General features: G+C 51.4%; 1 pseudogene; it reads right to left on the reverse strand.

The window, feature by feature from the left end:
* Nucleotides 12,203-17,600, reverse strand: TEKT4P1 (tektin 4 pseudogene 1; annotated as a pseudogene).

The raw sequence follows: 18,510 nt of genomic DNA on the forward strand, positions 1-18,510 counted from the left end.
GGCAATGAAGATCATCTGTCTCCTCCCTTCCCCATTAATTGTGAACTTTAGTTTTATAAGCTCCTAAGAGGCAGAAAACAAATTGGAGCCTCATCTTCTATTTGGGAATGTATGGCATGTATTTATTGTCCTAGGTGCTGGGTTTATTTTTTTTCAGCTAATGACAGTTTTCCATGCTTTATGGTAAGTGACCATAAAGTAAGTGGTAAGTGACTTACCCTTCAGGCAGTTCAGCCCAGGACAGTCAGCAGAAGACTGTTTCCAGACCCCACCTGCTAGTTACAGATCATCCCTGATAGAGCAGAGAGGGGTGACCAGGTAGTAACTTTATAGTCACTGGAGGCAAAGCCCATTTTTGGACAGTTCATTGAGGGCTTACAGATAAAAGGTTCACAAATTATGCAGTGAGCTGGATGGAGTGTGAAGTGTATTTATGGGTCGTGCACATACATAATAGGTTTACTTTTTGAGACTTGAAAACATGTTTTAACCTTAACCTAGGATTCCCACCTGATTTAAACCTCTTATTTCTCTAATGTCAGCCAAAAATGTGAGTATGACATACAAAGAGAAATACATCAAGGACTTTTCATCCTCATAGTTTGCCAGTGATGGTGGAGAGTGTCAGAATTGGTGAGTAGCCTAATCAAACCTTCTTGCTCTGCATGCAGTGGCAGACAGTCCCTTTGCTGTTTCTTTGGGGCATGCAGACTAATAAAGTGACACCATCATTTTATCTCTCAGTGAGCAGTAGTTTTAATGCTACTGCAGTGGTGGGAGCACTGGGTGTTGTCGTCCTCACCTGAGGACAAGCAGCTTTGTTTTGGATCATGCATCTGTTATTGTGATGGAGCCATTTATTTTTCAGGGAATGATGCCAAATGATGTTTGTCCCTTTGCTTTACATTTTTATAGCTAGGTCTTTGAAGCTGAACTGGAGGAACTTCTTAGCCAATACTGTCTTCTCAAACCAAAAGTTGACAGTTGCAGAAGACACGTTTTTTAGTGTCATGGCAACCAAGCAACATATTGCCTTAAATTAAATTTAGAGGTTGAGCATCCCTAGTCTGAAAAATCTGAAATTTGAAATGCTTCAAAATCTGAAACTTTTTGAGCACTGACATGACACCACATGTGGATTTTGATGTACCAGTCAAAGTGCAGGTGAATAACACACAGTTTATTTGATGTTCTCTAGTGAAAAAAGACCCTCTCAGCCCCCTTCAGCTGCAGTATAACTTTTCTACACATGCTCAGATTTCCCCATGCAAGCACACACACAAAGGGTCACAGAATGGCACATGTGCAAGCTGGACACGCCAATGGCAGGATTCCCACAGATGGGACCTAAGTGCTTTACTCATTGTGTATTTTTGCTTATTCTCTGCTCTGTGGTGTTAACATACTGAAAATGTCAATAAGGCCTGTAGATATCCCTGCGAGCAGCAATGATAAGGAAAAGTAGAAACACTTAGAACACAGAAAGTCAAGCTGTTGCAGAAATTGAACTGTAGTGTAAAGGTATAGATGACATGGTGAAAATGTGTGATAGAGATATTGAAGATATTGAAGGACTAGAGCTACCTGCATTCATAACAGAACAAGAGGTCATGTCAGCTTATAAAATTAAAGAGAGACTTCCAAGACAAAAGCCCTTGATAATGAGGCAGATGACTCTGGAGAAACATTATAAAAAGCCATCTGGCAGAATGCCTCCTCAGCCTCAGAGGACTCACCTCCTAGTTGCTCAACTCCTGATATTTCTTCTCACCTAAAAAAAGAAAAAAATACAATGTACAGTAACCTTTTAATCAAAATGCAGCCTTGTAGGTGGAGCCTGAAAGCTTGCCATTGTTTATACAGCTGTTTAACAGCTGATGCAGGTATTCTGGTGATGCTACTGTGTTGCTTATTGTTTTTTACTGTATTAATGGCATGTCATATTTTTACTTATGTGTGAATAATTGTGTGAAAATGATTGCTCATCAGTAGCATATAAATTCAGAGTCAAAAATGATGGTCAGTGACGTCAGACAGCCACAAGTTTTCCACATGGAAGCTGAGATAGTGACACCTTTGCTTTCTGATGGTTCCATGTACACAAACTTTGTTTCATTCACAAAATTATTTGAAATATTATATAAAATTACCTTTGGGCTATGTGTATAAGATATATGAAACATAAGTGAATTTCACGTTTAGACTTGGGTCTCATCGCCAAGATATCTCACGTAGATGCAAATATTATAAAATCCAAAAAAAAATTCCGAAACCCTAAACACTTCTGGTTCCAAACATTTCAGATAAGGGATACTCAATCTGCATATATAAAATATTTATGTATCACATACATAGTATGTATATAATATGAATTTCCATTCCTCTACAGGTTACTATTCTGGTACATTCCCGTTATATTCTGTTTATCAGACTGCAACTAAAACTTTCATGGGTTCAGCTTTATGTTGAACAGAATTTGCAGAATTATGAGTTGAAGCAAACCCTAGTTTGATAATGCTATGATTCTCCTAAATCACCAAAGTGCATGAAATGATTTTAAAGCTCCAGAAATACTGAAGCAACTTTGTGACAGAAAATTATTAGTGGATGCACAAGGAGTCTATAATGTTTTGGTTTTGCTATTGCTTCCTAAGGTGCAGCACCAGTTTGAATTTGAATACCAGACCAAAGTGGATGGTGAAATAATCCTTCATCTTTATGACAAAGGAGGAATTGAGCAAACAATTTGTATGTTGGATGGTGTGTTTGCATTTGTTTTACTGGATTCTGCCAATAAGAAAGTGTCCCTGGACAGAGATACATAAGGAGTCAGACCTTTGTTTAAAGCAGTGACAGAAGATGGATTTTTGGCTGTGTGTTCAGAAGCTAAAGGTAATAGTAAATTTATGTATAGATTTTCATTATTGTCTTGGTCGTGTGTTTTCTTTTAAATTATATCTGAAAATCTCTTAGCAATCCAGAATTTTACAAGTGACTAATTAAGTTGTGAGTTCTTACCTTTTTAAAAAAACAGAGTAGTTTTACTCTCCTTTTCAGCACTTAAATTCTGTAATCCTTGAAGGATGGGTCTTTAGTGTAGTCATTTATTTTTGGTGTGCTAATATGCTCTGCATATAGCTTGATCGTAAGTGCAGTTTTAAGTTTTCCTGTGTCATACTGTAATGATAGGGTTGGCTCTGCAATTATTGCCCTGCGGTACTTTGCTGAAGTTATAGCACAGCAAATATTAGGATTTCTAAAACAGCTTTATTGGCAGTTCACATGCCATGTAATTCACCCACTCGAAGTATATAGTTCAGTGGTTTTTAGTATATTCACAGATGTTGGGAACCAACACTCCAATCAATTTTAGAATTGTTTTTCCACCTCAAAAAAAAATCCTATGCCCTTTAGGTTATTTTCTTTCTATTTATTTATTTATTTATTTTAAGAGATGGGGTCTTGCTCAGTCGACCAGCCCAGGCTGGAGTACAGTTGTGTAATCATAGCTTAGTGCAGCCTTGAACTCCTGGGCTCAAGATATCCTCCCATCTCAGCCTCCCTAGTAGCTAGGATTACAGGCATGGACCACAACACCCTGCCTCCTGTGCCGTTTAGCTTTCAATTCTGTCTCTCCACATACATCATCTGCACCCCCGCAGTTGTAGCACTGGCAATCACCAATCTTTCTGCCTCTGGATTCCCTATTGTGTGTTTCATATAAATGGGATTATCTATCATATGGGCTTTTGTTACTGGATTCTTTCACTTGGCATAATGCTTGCAAGGTTTGTCTATGCTGTGACATGTATCAGTACTTACTTTTTATGGCCACATGATACTCTGTTACATGGATACACTGGATTTTGTTTATGCACTTGTCATTTGATGGATATTTAGGACATTGTTTACCCCTTTTGGTTATTATGAATAATGCTGCTATAAACATTGGTGTATAAGTTTTTGTGTAGACATTTGTCTTCGGTGTTTATCTAGGAGCAGAATTGCTCAGATGCATATAACTGTCTAATTGAGGAACTGCCAAACTACTTTTTGAAATGGCTGCATTATTTTTTATTCCCTCCAGCAGTGTATTAAAATTTCAGTTTCTCCACATCTTCACAAACACTTACTGTGTGACTTTTTAATTGTAGCTATTATAATGTATGTGAAATTGTATCTCCTTGTGGTTTTGATTTGTATTTTCCTATTGAAGGTAATGTCCAGTGTCTTTTCTCATGCTTATTGGCCATGTGTATATCTTCTTTGGGGAAATATTTGTTGAGATCTTTTGTCATTTTTTTTTTCCTGTTAGGGATCATTTTATTTTAAAAACAATAGACTTTTTTTTAGCAGTTTTAGAAAAAATAGAGAGAAAAGTGCAGAGAGTCCACATATGCTCCCCTACAGTGCCCCCGCCCAGTTTTCCCAACTCTTAACACCTTGCGCTACTGTGCTAAATTGATTAGATTTGATGAACTGATACTTATATCTGAAATTCATAGTTTACTTCAGGGTTCACTCTGTGTTTTATAGATTTTTGGATTTGACAAATGTATAATGTCATGTACCTACCATTACAGTATTATGTAGAACAGTTTCATTGCCCTAAAAATCTCCTGTGCTCCACTGAGTCATTCCTCCCCCTCCTCTTCCTCCCAAACCCCCGGTCATTACTAATCTTTTTACTCTCTAATTTTGCCTCTCCCAGAATGTCATATAATAGGATCATGTAGTATGTATCCTTTTCAGACTGGCTTCTTTCACCCAGCAGTATACATTTAGGGTTCTTCTGTGCTTTTTCATGGCTTGATAGCTCATTTTTTAAATTGCAGAATAATATTCCATTTGTTTGCATGTATTGAAGTTTGTTTATCCATTCTTGAATTATCTATCTCTAATTGGGTTGTTTTGTCTTTTTATTACAGAATTGTAATTGTTCCTTATGTACGCCAGACACAAATCCCTTGTGTTCATCAGGGTTGCAGGATACAAGGTCAATATACAAAAATCAATAGTATTTGACACACTTTAACTGAGTACTACATACTCACAATGAGCAATCAGAAAATGAAATTAAGAAAGCAACTTCATTTATCATAGCATCAACAAGAATAAAATACTGATACATTTAAGAAGTGTAAAACTTGTACTCTGAAAACTATAGAAGATTGTTGAAAGAAATGAAAGAAGATCTAAATAAACGTAAAAGTATCCCATGATCATGGACCTAAGGCTTAACATTGTTAAGAAGGCAATACTCCCTAAACTCATCTACAGATTTAACTTCATCCCTGTCAGAATCCCAGATGAGTTCTCTGTAAAATGGACAAGCTGACTCTGAAATTCATATGGAATTGCAAAGGACTAAGAATAGCCAAAATAATCTTTTGAAAATGAGAACAAAGTAGGAGAACTCATACTTACTGACTTTAAAACTTACTACAAGTCAGTGGTAATCAGGACAATATAATACTGGCAGAAGGATAGATGTATAGACCAGTGGGATAGAATTGAGAGTCAGATATGAACCCATACATATATAACCACTGCTTTTGACAAGGGTGCCAAGATTATTCAGTGGGGAAAGAAGTTTGAGAACTGGCACAAGGACAACTAGATATGTAAACATATGCAAAACCTGCAGTAGGACCTTTACCCAACACCATATACAAAAACTATGGATGCAAAAAAAAAAAAAAAAATGGATCAAATGGATCCATTTTGAGCTAATCCACGTAAATGTAAGGACTAAAACTATAAAATCCTGAGAAGCAAACATAGGAGTAAATTGTCATGACCTTGAATTTGACAAAGTTTTCTTAAATATGAGACCAGCAACAAGAATAAAAATTGATGAACTGGACTTCATCAAAATTAAACATTTTTGCACTTCAAAGGACACCATCAAGAAAGTGAAAAGACAACTCACAAGATGGAAGAAAATACTTGTAAATCATGTGTAGCACTTTTTGATGATAAACTTGAGGAAGACTTTTATTTTTTATTTTTATTATACTTTAAGTTCTAGGGTACATGTGCACAATGTGCAGGTTTGTTACATATGTATACATTTGCCATGTTGGTGTGCCGCACCCACTATCTCATCATTTACATTAGGTATATCTCCTAATGCTATCCCTCCTCCCTCCCCCCACCCCACGACAGGCCCCTGTGTGTGATGTTCCCCATCCTGTGTCCGAGTGTTCCCACTGTTCAATTTCCACCTACGAGTGAGAACATGTGGTGTTTGGTTTTCTGTCCTTGCGATAGTTTGCTCAGAATGATGGTTTCCATATATGTATATATGTCAGTTGCCAGGACTGCTGGGCAAGCCTGGGAAAGAGAGTACCTGGGGAAAGCAGCCTCCTGCTCCCCCGTGCCTTCTTTGAGCCTGATGTTCATTTGATGTGGTACTATATAATTACATCCAGTTTACCCTTTGAAATTCCTTGATTGTTCTTTTCTATATCCTTGACACTGTCCTTTTACAGACCACATAATCTTATCTGGAATACTACAACAGTTTTCTTTTCTCAGTGCTTTTAGGATAACCTGTCAAAAACTCATCTGGCTATAGTAGTACCTGCTTGCAACCTTTTAATTACTCCCCATTCCCTACCAGGCTGTGTAGCTCACTTGAGCTCTGCTAGGTGGTGAGGGAATCTGGGTCCTTTTTCTGGTATTTGAATTCAGTGCTACGTAGGTTACTGGCTGGGTTGACAATCTGAAATTGTAAATCATGAGTATTCTATGTAGATAGTCTGTCATGATTTAAAATAAAACATTGATATGTCAAAGATCATGGTGATGTGAGGTTGGGTATTGTCTGTGAGAATTAATTGAGGAAATTTAAATTATATGGTTTTATTTACATAGAGTGTATAACAACTAGTTAAGGGATAGATGTCTTCTTATCTGACTTTCAAGTATCTAAGAGTGGATTATTGTGCTTGTTAAAGTTCTGGGAACCATGGCTATTTTCTGAAAATACCTCAGTGATGACAAATGAATGACTACCAGCCTCTTGTAACATTAGGACTCCAGTTCATCCCTTTGCTTCATAAGTGTGTCTTTTCCTTTTGTATATATTTGCTTTAGTGTAGAAAATAGGTTTTCTTGATTAGAAATCTAAGAAGAATAAATTGAAAACTGGAGATTTTTCTATTGCTTTGGATTACCAAAATTAATGTAATTTGGTAATTACATTATTGTCATTATTGTCTCTCTGGTAGGTAGATGGTAGGGTTTTGGGTGATTAAATATTTTTCCCCTATTTTGCTTATTTAATGGGCATATGTTTGTATTAAAAGGGAAAATAAATAGGAATGTAGAAGATGTTAACTAATCGTGAAAGTTATTGGGAAGGGTTACCTAATTTAAAAGTTGGCCAGCCATGGCAGCTCTGCCTGTAGTCCCAGCTGTGGGGGAGGCTGAGGCAAGAGGATGGCTTGAGTTCAGGGGATGGAGGTTACAGTGAGCTATGATTGTGCCACTGCATTTCAGCCTGAGGGACAGCGCCAGACCCTGTCTCAGAAAAACCTAGAACAGCAACAAACAGAGAGAGGAGCCTGGACGGATTGAGCAATATTAGTGTCCGGGAGCTGCTGTAGTGATGGCTTACGACATCAGGAATTTATTCTCTCACAGTTCTGGAGGCCACAAGTCCAAAATCAAGGTGTGGGCAGAAATGCGCTCCCTCTGCAGTCTCTTGGGGAGGATGCTTGTTTCTTCCAGCTTTGCGACTGTGGTGCCTGCCGCCATTGGAACCAGCTCTGCACGGCTCAGACCTGGGTGATGAGGACACAGCTTTGCAGGTGGGCAGCCACATCCCCAGGGGGAGACTGTGAGCCTGTGGCAGGGTAGGGGCCACCAGGGCAGGGGCTCCACATTGTTGCCCCTGAGCTCCTGGGGCTTGTGGAGAAAGACAGGTGGATGCACACATACTGCAGCTCCTTGGATCTGAGCCTTGGTTTCCCTACCTGTGAAATGGGCACCCATGGCAGCTTAGAAGTGTCTGGGAGCATCCCCTGTGGGGGAATGTGTGGGGGCTGCTGGGGCACAGTCATGGGAAACCCCAGTCCCCCTCTCCATGTGCTTCCCTCAATGATCCCTGATGACAGCAGTCCTGCCCCCGAACAGAAAGGGGCATTCCTGTGAGTTCCTTGTGTGGGGGACTGGTCACAGAGACTCCCCAAGTGCAGGGCAGGGTGGAGGGAGGCTGAGGGGTGGTTGAATGGACAGGAGAAGAGCTCTCTCCAGTTCCTCGGATCTGGTTGGCCTGGGGAGCATCCATCTGGGCAGGCAGCTGGCAGGGCTGGTGGCTGAGCCACTGTGGCTTGGGGACCCCAGGCCAGGACAGAGTAGGGTGGGCAGGGAAAGCAGAGTGTGAGCATATGGGGCAGGACAGGTGTCTCCTGGACAGAAAGAGCCCTGGTCACTCATGGCTGCAGCATAGCCATGGCGACAGGAAAGTGCTGCTGTACATTGTGCTCCTGGGGCTGGCTCCCAATGGACAGCCAACAGCATCTCCCCCATTGTACTGTGGGATGCTGGCAGTGGTGCTGGGCACTGAGGTAAGAGCCTTGGCAAGCCCTTCGCTCTCTGGGTGTGATACCTTGGGCTCCTGGATGCCTGGGTTTCCGTGTCCTATTTTTCCCATGGAAGATGTTTGGGGTGCTCCCAGGAAATGGGGAGGGCCCTGGGGGGTCAGGATTGTATTATTAAAGCCAGAAAGTCTGGGGTTCCATTTTTAGCACAAGGCAGGCAGCCCATGAGCCCCAGCCCAGTGGCCAGCCTGTGTGGGAGGGGAGTGGGGGTCTGAAGGAGTGAGGCTTCTGTTACTGCAGGCTCCACTGCAGCCCTCCAGGGTGGCCCGTGTTGGCTGGAGAGCGGGCACTGCACCAGGGGCTCTGGCGCTGACCTTGAGCCATGCATCTAATGCCTGTGAGAGTGATCTCTAGGAACCACTGCACAAGGGGGCAGATGAGGGAACCCTGACATGGGACAGCCGAGGGCGACCCCAACACGGAGGGGGCAGCTGTGTCCAGGCTCCACTGGATTCCGCAGAGTACAGAACACAGCTCTGACTCCAGGGTGTGGGCTCACTGAAGGACAGGACAGGCTGGGGTTGGGAGAGGGCCAAGCTGCAGCTGGGCCAGATCCCACCTGCACCCCTCAGATGGCAGGGCCTGGACGTCTCCATCCCCACCCTGACCCGGTCAGTAACAGCCATGGGCTAGCAGCCCCCAGCAACCCCTCCCTCTGTGAACTGCCAAGGACAGGAGGTACCACAGTCTCTTCCAGGCAAGAGCTGCTGGAGCCTTCTTTATTCTTGTGCTAGAAGCCCAGGGTGGGGAGAGGAGCCTGAGAAGAGCCCAGTGTGGGCATCCACCTTCCTGCCCACTTTGGAGGTCTGAATCACCTCCGGCCACTCTCCCAATCCCCAGGAGCCCAGAGGCTTCCTGGAGCAAGCCACACCTGATCTCCACCATGGGTAGGAGTTCAAGGCCAAGACAACAGGGACTCCAAAGAGGGGCCTGTGGGTTAGCAGCAGCTGCCAGTGTCCAGATGGCCTCAGGGGTGGGGGTTGGACAATCTGGAGGTCAGCAGGGAATTCAGCATGAGGAGACAGCCCTTAGGGTTCTGGCCCAGCAGCCCCAGGTGCTGGCTCTGCACTGAGTCATGAAGTTTGTGGGCCAGGGGAGGTGGCCTCTCTCTAGCTGAGAGTGATTTCCATCACTGCTGTCATTAGCCTCCCCTGCATCAACCTGTCCCTGGGGTGCGAGCACAGTGGGCACAGGGACCCTCAGGCCTTAGTTTTCCCTGCTGTAAAATGCATGTGATAGGCTGTCATGAGGTCTGAAGGAGTTAAAACCTGCCATGTGCTCAGGATGACACCTAGCTCGGTTCCTCCTAGCCTGGTGCCACCATCCGGCATCAGAGATTAAATACTTCTCCCAGGCCCCCTCCTCTGGCACCCCCCACACTCAGCTCTCCATCAGCCACCCCCTCCAGGGTGGGACAAGGAGGTCCTGAGCCTGCTGGGGACCTGACAGGGCTGGGCAGCGCCACCTGGGCCTGGGCGATAATGGGAGCCTGAGTGTGGGGCCTGCATGGAGGGAGCCATTGTTTCTTGGGCCTCTTAGTGGCTACTTCCCTAGAGTCTGGGAGAAGTGCTGCTGTTCAAGAGGGGACAGTGCCAGCAGCTCCTTCTGAGGCTGGGGTGGGCACAGCGTGGAGGGGCCTCACCTCCACCCACCTCCCATGGAGGTTCCTGGCTCTCCTGGAGGACTCCTTGCTACTGGGCTGAGGCTGGCACCAGGGCTGACCAGGCCCAGGATGGTGTTGGACAACCTGCATCCCCCTGCAGCAGGCAGGGAGGGCACTGCAGCCACCACCCACCCACACATGACCCCTCCCTGGCCATCGTGTCTAGGGTGGCAGGGAGTGAAGCTCCCACCCAACAACCTCCCCCAGCTCAGGGGCCTTTGAGTTCACCACCATCTGCCTCACTGCAGGTTTCCCCTGTGCTGGGGGTGATTGCAAGGAGATGGTTCTTTGGCGTTCCCTGGACAGGTCATTGCCTCAGCCCCTGCCTGGTGTCCTGGAGCAGCTTTGAGGAGCTACATGGACAGGACACCAACTGTCTGCAGCCCCCAGGTGAGGCTTGGCTGCTGTGTCCCACTGCCTCTGCTCCTGGCTGTCAAAGCCCCATGGTAACAGCATCCAGGGTGAATTTAAATGGCACCCCAAAGAACAAGAGTGGGCCTGGGTGTCACTGTAGTGGCTGGTGGCTTGTGACAAGTAGTGTGGCTTCCGTGGTGATGAGAAGTGACAGTTCCCCCTGAATCTGCACTGGAGAGAAGGTCCTGGAAGCTTTCAGGCCCACCCTCCAGGGTCTGGGTCTGCATCTCTGAGAGTGGCTGGGTGAGCAGAAGAATCCTCACTGCCTGGCAGTTGGGTTTGGAGCTGGGGAGGGCGGGGCCTGGTTAGCAATGAGACTATCGCAGTGAACCAGAGCTCAAGATAAAGCGAGAGGCCTAGCCCAGACACCTCCTTCCCTGGTCCCAGCCCCTGTGCCTTGGCCTGTGCAGTGGAAGCCAGGCTCCCTCCTCCAGGAAGCCTTCCCTGCACTTCCTGCTCACACACAGCCTCTCCCAGATTTCTCCCCATCCAGGCTGAGTAGGATTCCCAAGAAGGCTCCTCCCTGAGCCAACTGCCTGCAGTCAACATTATCACCAGTAGTGTTTTTCATCTTCAGCAGTGGCCTCTGGAGGGGTCCTAGCAGGTCGGGGAGAGAGGTCTGAGTTAGCCCCACGTGAAAGGCAGCCCATGCCTCTCCTCCCAGCAACCCCTAGCAGCAAATTCCACCTGGCTGACCCCACCCAGCTCACAGAGCTGCCCAGCTGGGTGTCCTTGTGGTTGACTGGGGGGAAGGGGCTGTTACCTCCCGGTCCCCTTCAGGCTGAGACAAGAGCCCTGTGGGCCTGGATCTTGCAGATGGGACCCCCACCCACATGCTCTCCAGGTGGATGCTCACCCTGGGCTGTTCTCAGGCCCCTCTCCCCACACTGGGCCCACACCCTGGAGGGAACTCCATGTACCCCTGCCCATCTGCCCATCTGAGCCTCAGGGGTCCTGGGCACTGAGAGCTGGGCTGGGCTGAGCTCAGGTACACACTGTCATTGGGGATGGAGAGGGGATGCTGAAGTGGGTGCTTCTGCATGGGGCCTGCCTGGAGGATCGCCACAGCAGGTGCACCCAGCAGCCAGACCAGCTTCTAGCAGAATAAGTGCACTGTCACAGGGGTATGTGAGCTGAGGCTGGGGGCCTGGAGGTGCAGGGGGAGGAGTTGGGGAGATGCAGAGGCCCCAAAGATGTCCCAAGGCCCTAAGACACTGGTGAGGGAATGGAGGAGCCAGCACTGGTGGGGAAGTGGGGAGGGGGAGATGGATGGCCTGGGTCTGAGCTGGACACACGGTCTGTGCCCACACTTGAGCTGTGCTGTGGAGGCCCAGTCCCCACCTGGGCATGTCCTGTCCTCTGAGGCACAGGGATTCCTCACCCTCAGCTCTGACCCCTCATCTCCAACTGCTGGGATGACGAGTCCATAGGCAGAGCCAGCCTCACAGGGGACCCAAAGGCCAGTTCAGATGGACAGCAACTGGAGGTCCCACCAGGCACACACACATACTGTGCAGAAAGCTAATGCACTGTTTATTTGGGGGATTGGGGGGAAGCACCGTGCCGCTGCTCACTGGTAGCCAGCCAGCTGCAGGATGGTGGGGTAGCAAGTATGATGGGCCATGCAATTCTGGCGGTCGAGGAAGAGACTGTTGGTCATGGCAGTGACGTCCTTCTCCAGGCTCATGTGGATGTCCTCGAGGTTGTGCAGGGACTGCTCCGCTTGTAGAAGCTTCTCCCACAGCGCTGTGATGGACTTGTACAGCTCCTCCAACTCACTCACCAGCTTGGGGGTGTTGGGGGGTGTGAGCTGGGGCTGGGGAGGGAAGAAGTATGCACCTACCGGGGTGGAGGGGACCCAAAACTCCCAATGGGAGCTGGCAGGAGGTCCTGGGAAGACGCCATGAAAGGATCCCACCAGGAAAGTGGCTCTAGGGCAGAGCATAAATTACTAGGGTCCTCCCAGGGAGCGCGGGCCTGAGTGGGAATGAGTGACCCGCGTGCAATCTCGACCCTGGCAGGACAGGACTGGCCTCAGCCGACCAGGCTCAGTTCTTTCCGTTCCTGATATTTGACGGAAGGAGGCACCCAGTTCCTTGAAGGAACTGAGGGGCAGGGAAGGAAGAAAGGTACTTAGGCTCAGAAGGGGCCACTAGGCATCCATTAACAAGGGAAACAAAAGGATGGCCCATCTATGCCTGTAGCCCAGGCGTAGGTCATACTTTCCACCAGAGGTGGGGACAGCACCCTCAGGGCAGCAGGGAATGGCCCTCCCTGGCCTCTCTGGCCCCGTGGCCTCCAGGAGCTCACCTTGTCTGAAGGAGCTTCCTCCTGGGAAGATGAGGTAGCAGAGGGTGGGGTGAGACCACGTGGGCACAGGTCCCTGGCACTGGGAGGCCCCCGACCCATGACCTGCCCAGTGTCATGTCTATATCTGTGTGTTTAAGGCGTGCTTGCGTGTTGCGTGTGGCCGCAAAGTCTCCTTCCCATCTCAGCACCTGTGGGGGATGTGTGTGTGGAGATTGGAGTGTTTATTGGAGAAGGTCGCAGCGAGGAGGTGGACGAGGGCACCTGGGACTGCCTCAGAGGCCCAGGCAGTACCTGAATTGGGCTGCATCGCGGCACAGCTCCATGTTGGGCCGGTGTGAGAGCAGGTACAGCCGGGTCTGGGCTATGTGCAGAGGTGCCTCCTTGTCCTTGATGGCCTCCTTCAGTGCCACCATGTTGTGTTCCTGATCTGTGATTTCCCGCAGCATCTGCCGACAGGACAGTGCCCCTTGGGCCTGTGCCCCCATGCCCGGGCATATGGAATGCAGAGACCAGTCTGGTCCTACCCAGGTCCTGGGGCTGTGTCCAGAGGGTGGTCCTGACCAGTGGCCCTGGGGAGGCGTGGATGAGGGGAACAATGTGCACGGGGCCCCCAGTGGGCTCTGGAGAGTCAGGCAGCCTGTTGTCTCTTAGCTCTGGTCCAAGAACCCCCATCCTTGGTGGTCACCAGGACCCAAATCCTGCTCAAGGACTGGGGACTCAGAGGTGGTAAAGGCCATGCTGAGGCCCTAGAGTCAGAGCCCTGCCTGTCACGCCAGGACTCTTGGGGACCTCCCAGGCAGTCAATGCTCCCCAGACCAGCTCCTGCCTCCATCCTCCCCACAGCTCCTCCTGCTCAGTCATGGGGGTTGCAACGCACTGCGATCATACCCAGTGTCACCTGGTTTTACATAGGTTTATGGAGAGGTGACACTTGCTTCTGGGGTCCCTCGGGTTAAGTGGGACAGAGGAGAAAGGTGTTGAGGGCCCAGACCAGGTGATGAGAGGGGGCAGAGTGGTGGGCAGGCGCCGGAGCCATCTTTGGGGTTCAGGGTGCCCCACCTTTTGCAGGTGGTGCTGCAGCTTGTGCCGCGCGTCCTCCAGTTCCTCACAGCGGCGCCCAAAGGCCAGGTTCACTGCGTCACACTGGAGTCCCAGGTCCTCGGAGGTGTCGCGAAGGATGCAGTCCACCAGCACCCACAGGTTGGCTGAGTCCAGGCGCTCGCGCTGGGCGCGGCACAGATTGTCCTGTGTGAACTTGGTCCGGGTCTCTGGGGTGGAGGCGCTGCGGGGCTGGGGACAGCCAGGAGAAGGTCGGGGAGGCTCTGCCAATGGCTGGGGGCCCTGCCGCGCCCCCATTCCCTGTCTGCACCCCATGCTCCTGGAGGAACTGCATGGACTCCAATGCATCCCGTGCAGACCCACGAAGCCCAGTCCCCCAAGCTCCCTGCCTCCGAGTTCCCCCCGCCCACAACTCCCCTGAGTCCACCCACACCCTACCCACCCCGGGCACTTAGTCCCCTCCTGCCCCCGTGACCCCGCTCCCAGCACCGCTGCCCCAGAGGCCCCCTCTGCAGCACCTCCGTCCCCCGCAACCCCCCTTCCCTAGTACCCAGCGCCCGCGTCCGCTTCTCGCACCCAGGAGTTTGCCATGCTCAAGTGGGCGGTGGTCGTGCTCCCTCTGCTGGCCTTGGGTGGAAATGCAATCCTGCCGGCGCCTGGGGCTGACCGCACCCCACCCTGTCCTGTCTAAGGGCAACCAGGCTGTGCACGCGCTGGGCACTTGAGGAGGTCTTGCATGCTTTCTCATGCCAGGGGCAGACAGTTGCCCAAGTGTCTTCGGGGGCGAGGGCCTCTGGGCCAGGCTGGGGGAAGCAGCGCCGCTGGGGACCCCAGGCAGAGGGAGGCAAGACCACAGCCAGGGCAAGCACGGGGGCAGAGCTGGGGCCCCCCTCTCTTGGAAGGTGGTGGAGTGCCGGATGAGCCTGCACCTCGGTGCTCTGGCTGCGGTGGCGCCCGCAAGTCTCGTCGAGGTTGTAAGCCTCCACCTTGTCCGACCAGTCCATCTCGCAGATCTCCATGTGCTCTCGGTTCAGTCTGGGGCGGGGTGGGGCAGGGTCTTGGTGTGTGGCCAGGGAGGGCCCCGCTGGGGACCCTCCATGCTGCAGGCTAGGCCTTTATGCCCGCTTCAGGAGGGAGCTCTGGGCCGGCTGTCCTCGTGCTCAGCAGTGACCAAGAGCTGCCGCCCATGCTGGGAGGCTGCAGATCAGTTGTGGCACTGGGCTTTGGCCACTCAAACTCAGGCTGGGCCGGAAACTCCCCCACCCAGCCCTGTGCTCCCACTGTGACCTGGGACAGCCCCTGCCGGCTCTGAGCTTCAGGGCCCTGTCGTTCAATGGCTTGCCCCAGGACCAGCCGTGGGTGGGGTCAGGAGTCATCCCTTGGGCAGCCCTCGACCCACCGGATCTGGCTCACTGCTTGCACGATGACTCTCTTCAGCAGCTCCTGAATGTTCCGGATGAGCTCAGCTTCCTGAGGGAGGAGACGCCCTGAGCACCAGAGCCGGCCCTTGGTGAGGATCCCAGGAGGCCCAGCTGCTGCAGGCCTTGGTCAACACCTGAGCAACCAGAAATAGTTGAATGCCGGGCCTGAGCTCTGACTGTGCAAGTTCTGCTCTCTCACTGGGTTTATCCTGGGCTTTTGGGCATTCTCCTTGGTGTGTTGTAAGTGGGGTGTTTTCCTCCAGGGCCTTCTATGGGCTGCTGGGAAGGTCCCTCAGCGGCAGTTCCCACGCCCCAGGCCTCAAGAGTCATCACTGCTGCTCACTCAGTGCACCCAGGAACGTTGGCCTGCCCCTGGCCTCTGGACAGCCCCTGAGGACCCAAACTCTGGGGGCCCAGATGCCCACCTAGGCTGCCCCTCAGGGCTCTGTGTTGGGAAAGACCATCCTCACACCAAGAACAGGAGGAAGACCATGTGTTTCTTCTTACTGCCTGGCCAGTTTAATTTTCTGTGTGTAGGAACAAGCCTTTTTCCCCTGTGACTGGGGTCTTTGCCTGGACCACCAGCTACCTCCTTGTGTGCCAGGGCCCGAGTCCTGCACCCCTCTGTCCCTGGGTTTGCCTCTTCCTGCACTGTCAGTGTCTCCATCACTTCGCAGACACCCTTGTTGCTGGCAGAGGGTTTGCGGGAACTGCAGCAGTTCTTGAGGCACTGAGAGGGTGCAGGGGGATAGGCCTGCAGAAGGGGAAGGGAGGGAGGAGGGAAGGCATGAGGGGAGGGAGGGACTCAAGGGTTCTTGCCTGAGTTTGGGGGTATGGCAGGAGACCAGCTGCCTCCACCCCACATCTTTCACAAATGTCTACAGGCCTGTAGTGGTTCTCATGGAGGCCCCAGGCTCTGAGAGCTCAGGGAATTCTCCAGAGCCAGCATCAGGGCCAGGACTGAGTTACTCTCTCACCCTATGGGGTTGACCCATAGACAAGCTGGGTTGGATTGGGAAGTTACAGGTGACATGGAGAAGGGGACCTGTGGGTGCAGATCTTCGTGTTCCCGGCTCTGTATAGGATGAATAGGAGCAGTGGCTCCCAGCCTATCCCACCCTACCTGTCCACACCCGCAGTGCTGGCCCAGACCTGGGTTTCCACCTCGGGAGCAACTGTCCCAACCAGGGAAGGTCTCTGGGGAGCACAGGGTCAGGATGACTGTGCCAGGACTCAAAGGTATTGGAGGAGGAGAGGAGAAACAGCTGCTTGGAAGTCAGGGGACTTCTGGGGCAAAACTGCCTCCTGTCACTAAGGGGACAGATTTCGGGACTCAGGGGTCTCACGCACAGAGGGCTGGTCTCCCGTGTGCTTGTAGCAGCCACCTGGCTTCTCCACATGAACTGCCAGGGGCTCCTCCTCTCTGTGCCCACAAGTCCTGGCCACCCAAGGCTGCTGGCACCTTCAGCAGCTCCGTCTCCACATGGTCACGCACAAGGTTGGCGTGCTGGTGGCGCTGGTTGCACTGCATGTTGTCAGTGGCGATGGAGAAGGGCACCTCCATGGCATCCAGGGCGTGCTCCAGCCGTTGCTTCTGGGCCAGCAGCAGGTCAGTCTCCGCAGCCAGCGCCTCTACCTCGCCCTGCAGCTCCGAATTCCAGCTGTGCATGTCCTGCAGTCGCTCGCCCACCCTGCACTTGGAGTCTTGCTGTGTCGGCTGTGCCAGCGCCTGGATCTCTGCAGCCAGCTGCTGGCTCTTGTGCCCCTGCAGCTCCCGCTCCGACTGGTTGCAGTCGGCGAAGGCCTGGTGGTAGCGAGCATAGCAGTTCTGGAACCACACCACCAGCTGGCGGTGGCCAGGCCGGAGGACGTGTAGGCGCCCGTGTTGCGGACCACGTCATACTCTTTGCAGGGCAGCTCGCAGGGCGGCACTGTCTGCGGGGCCGGCTCTGGTAGGAGCATATCCGTCTGCACCATGGTGTCTGCCACCCACCAGGGCCAGGGGAGTGAGGAGTGTGTGTGGTCAGCTTGTTGCGGTCAGCCCAGTGCAGTCATCGGTCGGCTCCAACGGCTCTGTCGCAGAGCAGGACGTGGCTCCCAGTTGCTTGGGTGACACAGTAAACCAAGAGCTTCCTGTTGCCAAGAAACGGGATCTCTTCTCCAGTGGCTAGGGGAGGGGGCATTCAGGGCGGCGGGCAGAATTGCCCTCTTAAAGGGCCAGGCAGCCCCAGCCCCACCATCCCTGTCCCCACCTCGGGGCAATCAACAGTGGCCAAGGGTTCCTGTCACTTAGAGGATCCCAGGGCCAGCCCGTCTCCAGCCTCTGTGTCCCACCCTTAGGGTTCAGGGTGTGGGTGGGGACCTACTGCCCTGGTCCCTTCGTTGATTCATCCATTTGTTCCTGGTTTGCTCTCTGATCCTGTCCTGTGCGGAGCTCCACGCTCAGGGTGAACAAGACAGAGGAGGCTCTGCCCACCTGCCCCCTCAGGGCAGAGGGCTGTGGCTGTTGTGTGAATGTTGGGTGTGCTGAGTGATAGTGTTACTTGATGCCGTACAGGTGGCTGCTCTCCCTGCCCTCCTGGCCCCAACAGCAGCCTGGTAGCACAGGGAGGGTCCCAGGCCAGGCCCCCTCAGGGGCAGTCTGAAGCAGTTCCTGCAGGGACTCTGCTCCATTTTCTCCTGGACCTAGTGCCTGAGAGCCAGGCCCTGGCCTCTGGCCTTCTCCTCCCAAGTCCCAGCTAGGGTCCCCTCAGGCTGGGCACAGTGGGGAGGGAGGGAGTCTGAGTGTGTTTTTTCCTGGGGAGTTGAATTCAGCCTCTGGATAAGTGTCCAGAGTCATATGCCCAAATCTGCCCCACAGGGCGGAGGAAGGTCCTGTGCTGCGGAGGCTGCCCTGAAAGCCACCCAGGGCCATGCTGCCTGGCGGAGGCTGGATGGGCAGTAAGCGCCCCAGGACACATCGGCATCCCCCAAACCTGGGGCCAGGGGAGCTCCAGCCTAGGGGAGATTCCCCACGCAGCCAGCGGAGGGCGGC

Source organism: Homo sapiens, chromosome Y (genome assembly GCF_000001405.40).
Source record: "Homo sapiens chromosome Y, GRCh38.p14 Primary Assembly".
Lineage (NCBI taxonomy): Eukaryota > Metazoa > Chordata > Mammalia > Primates > Hominidae > Homo > Homo sapiens.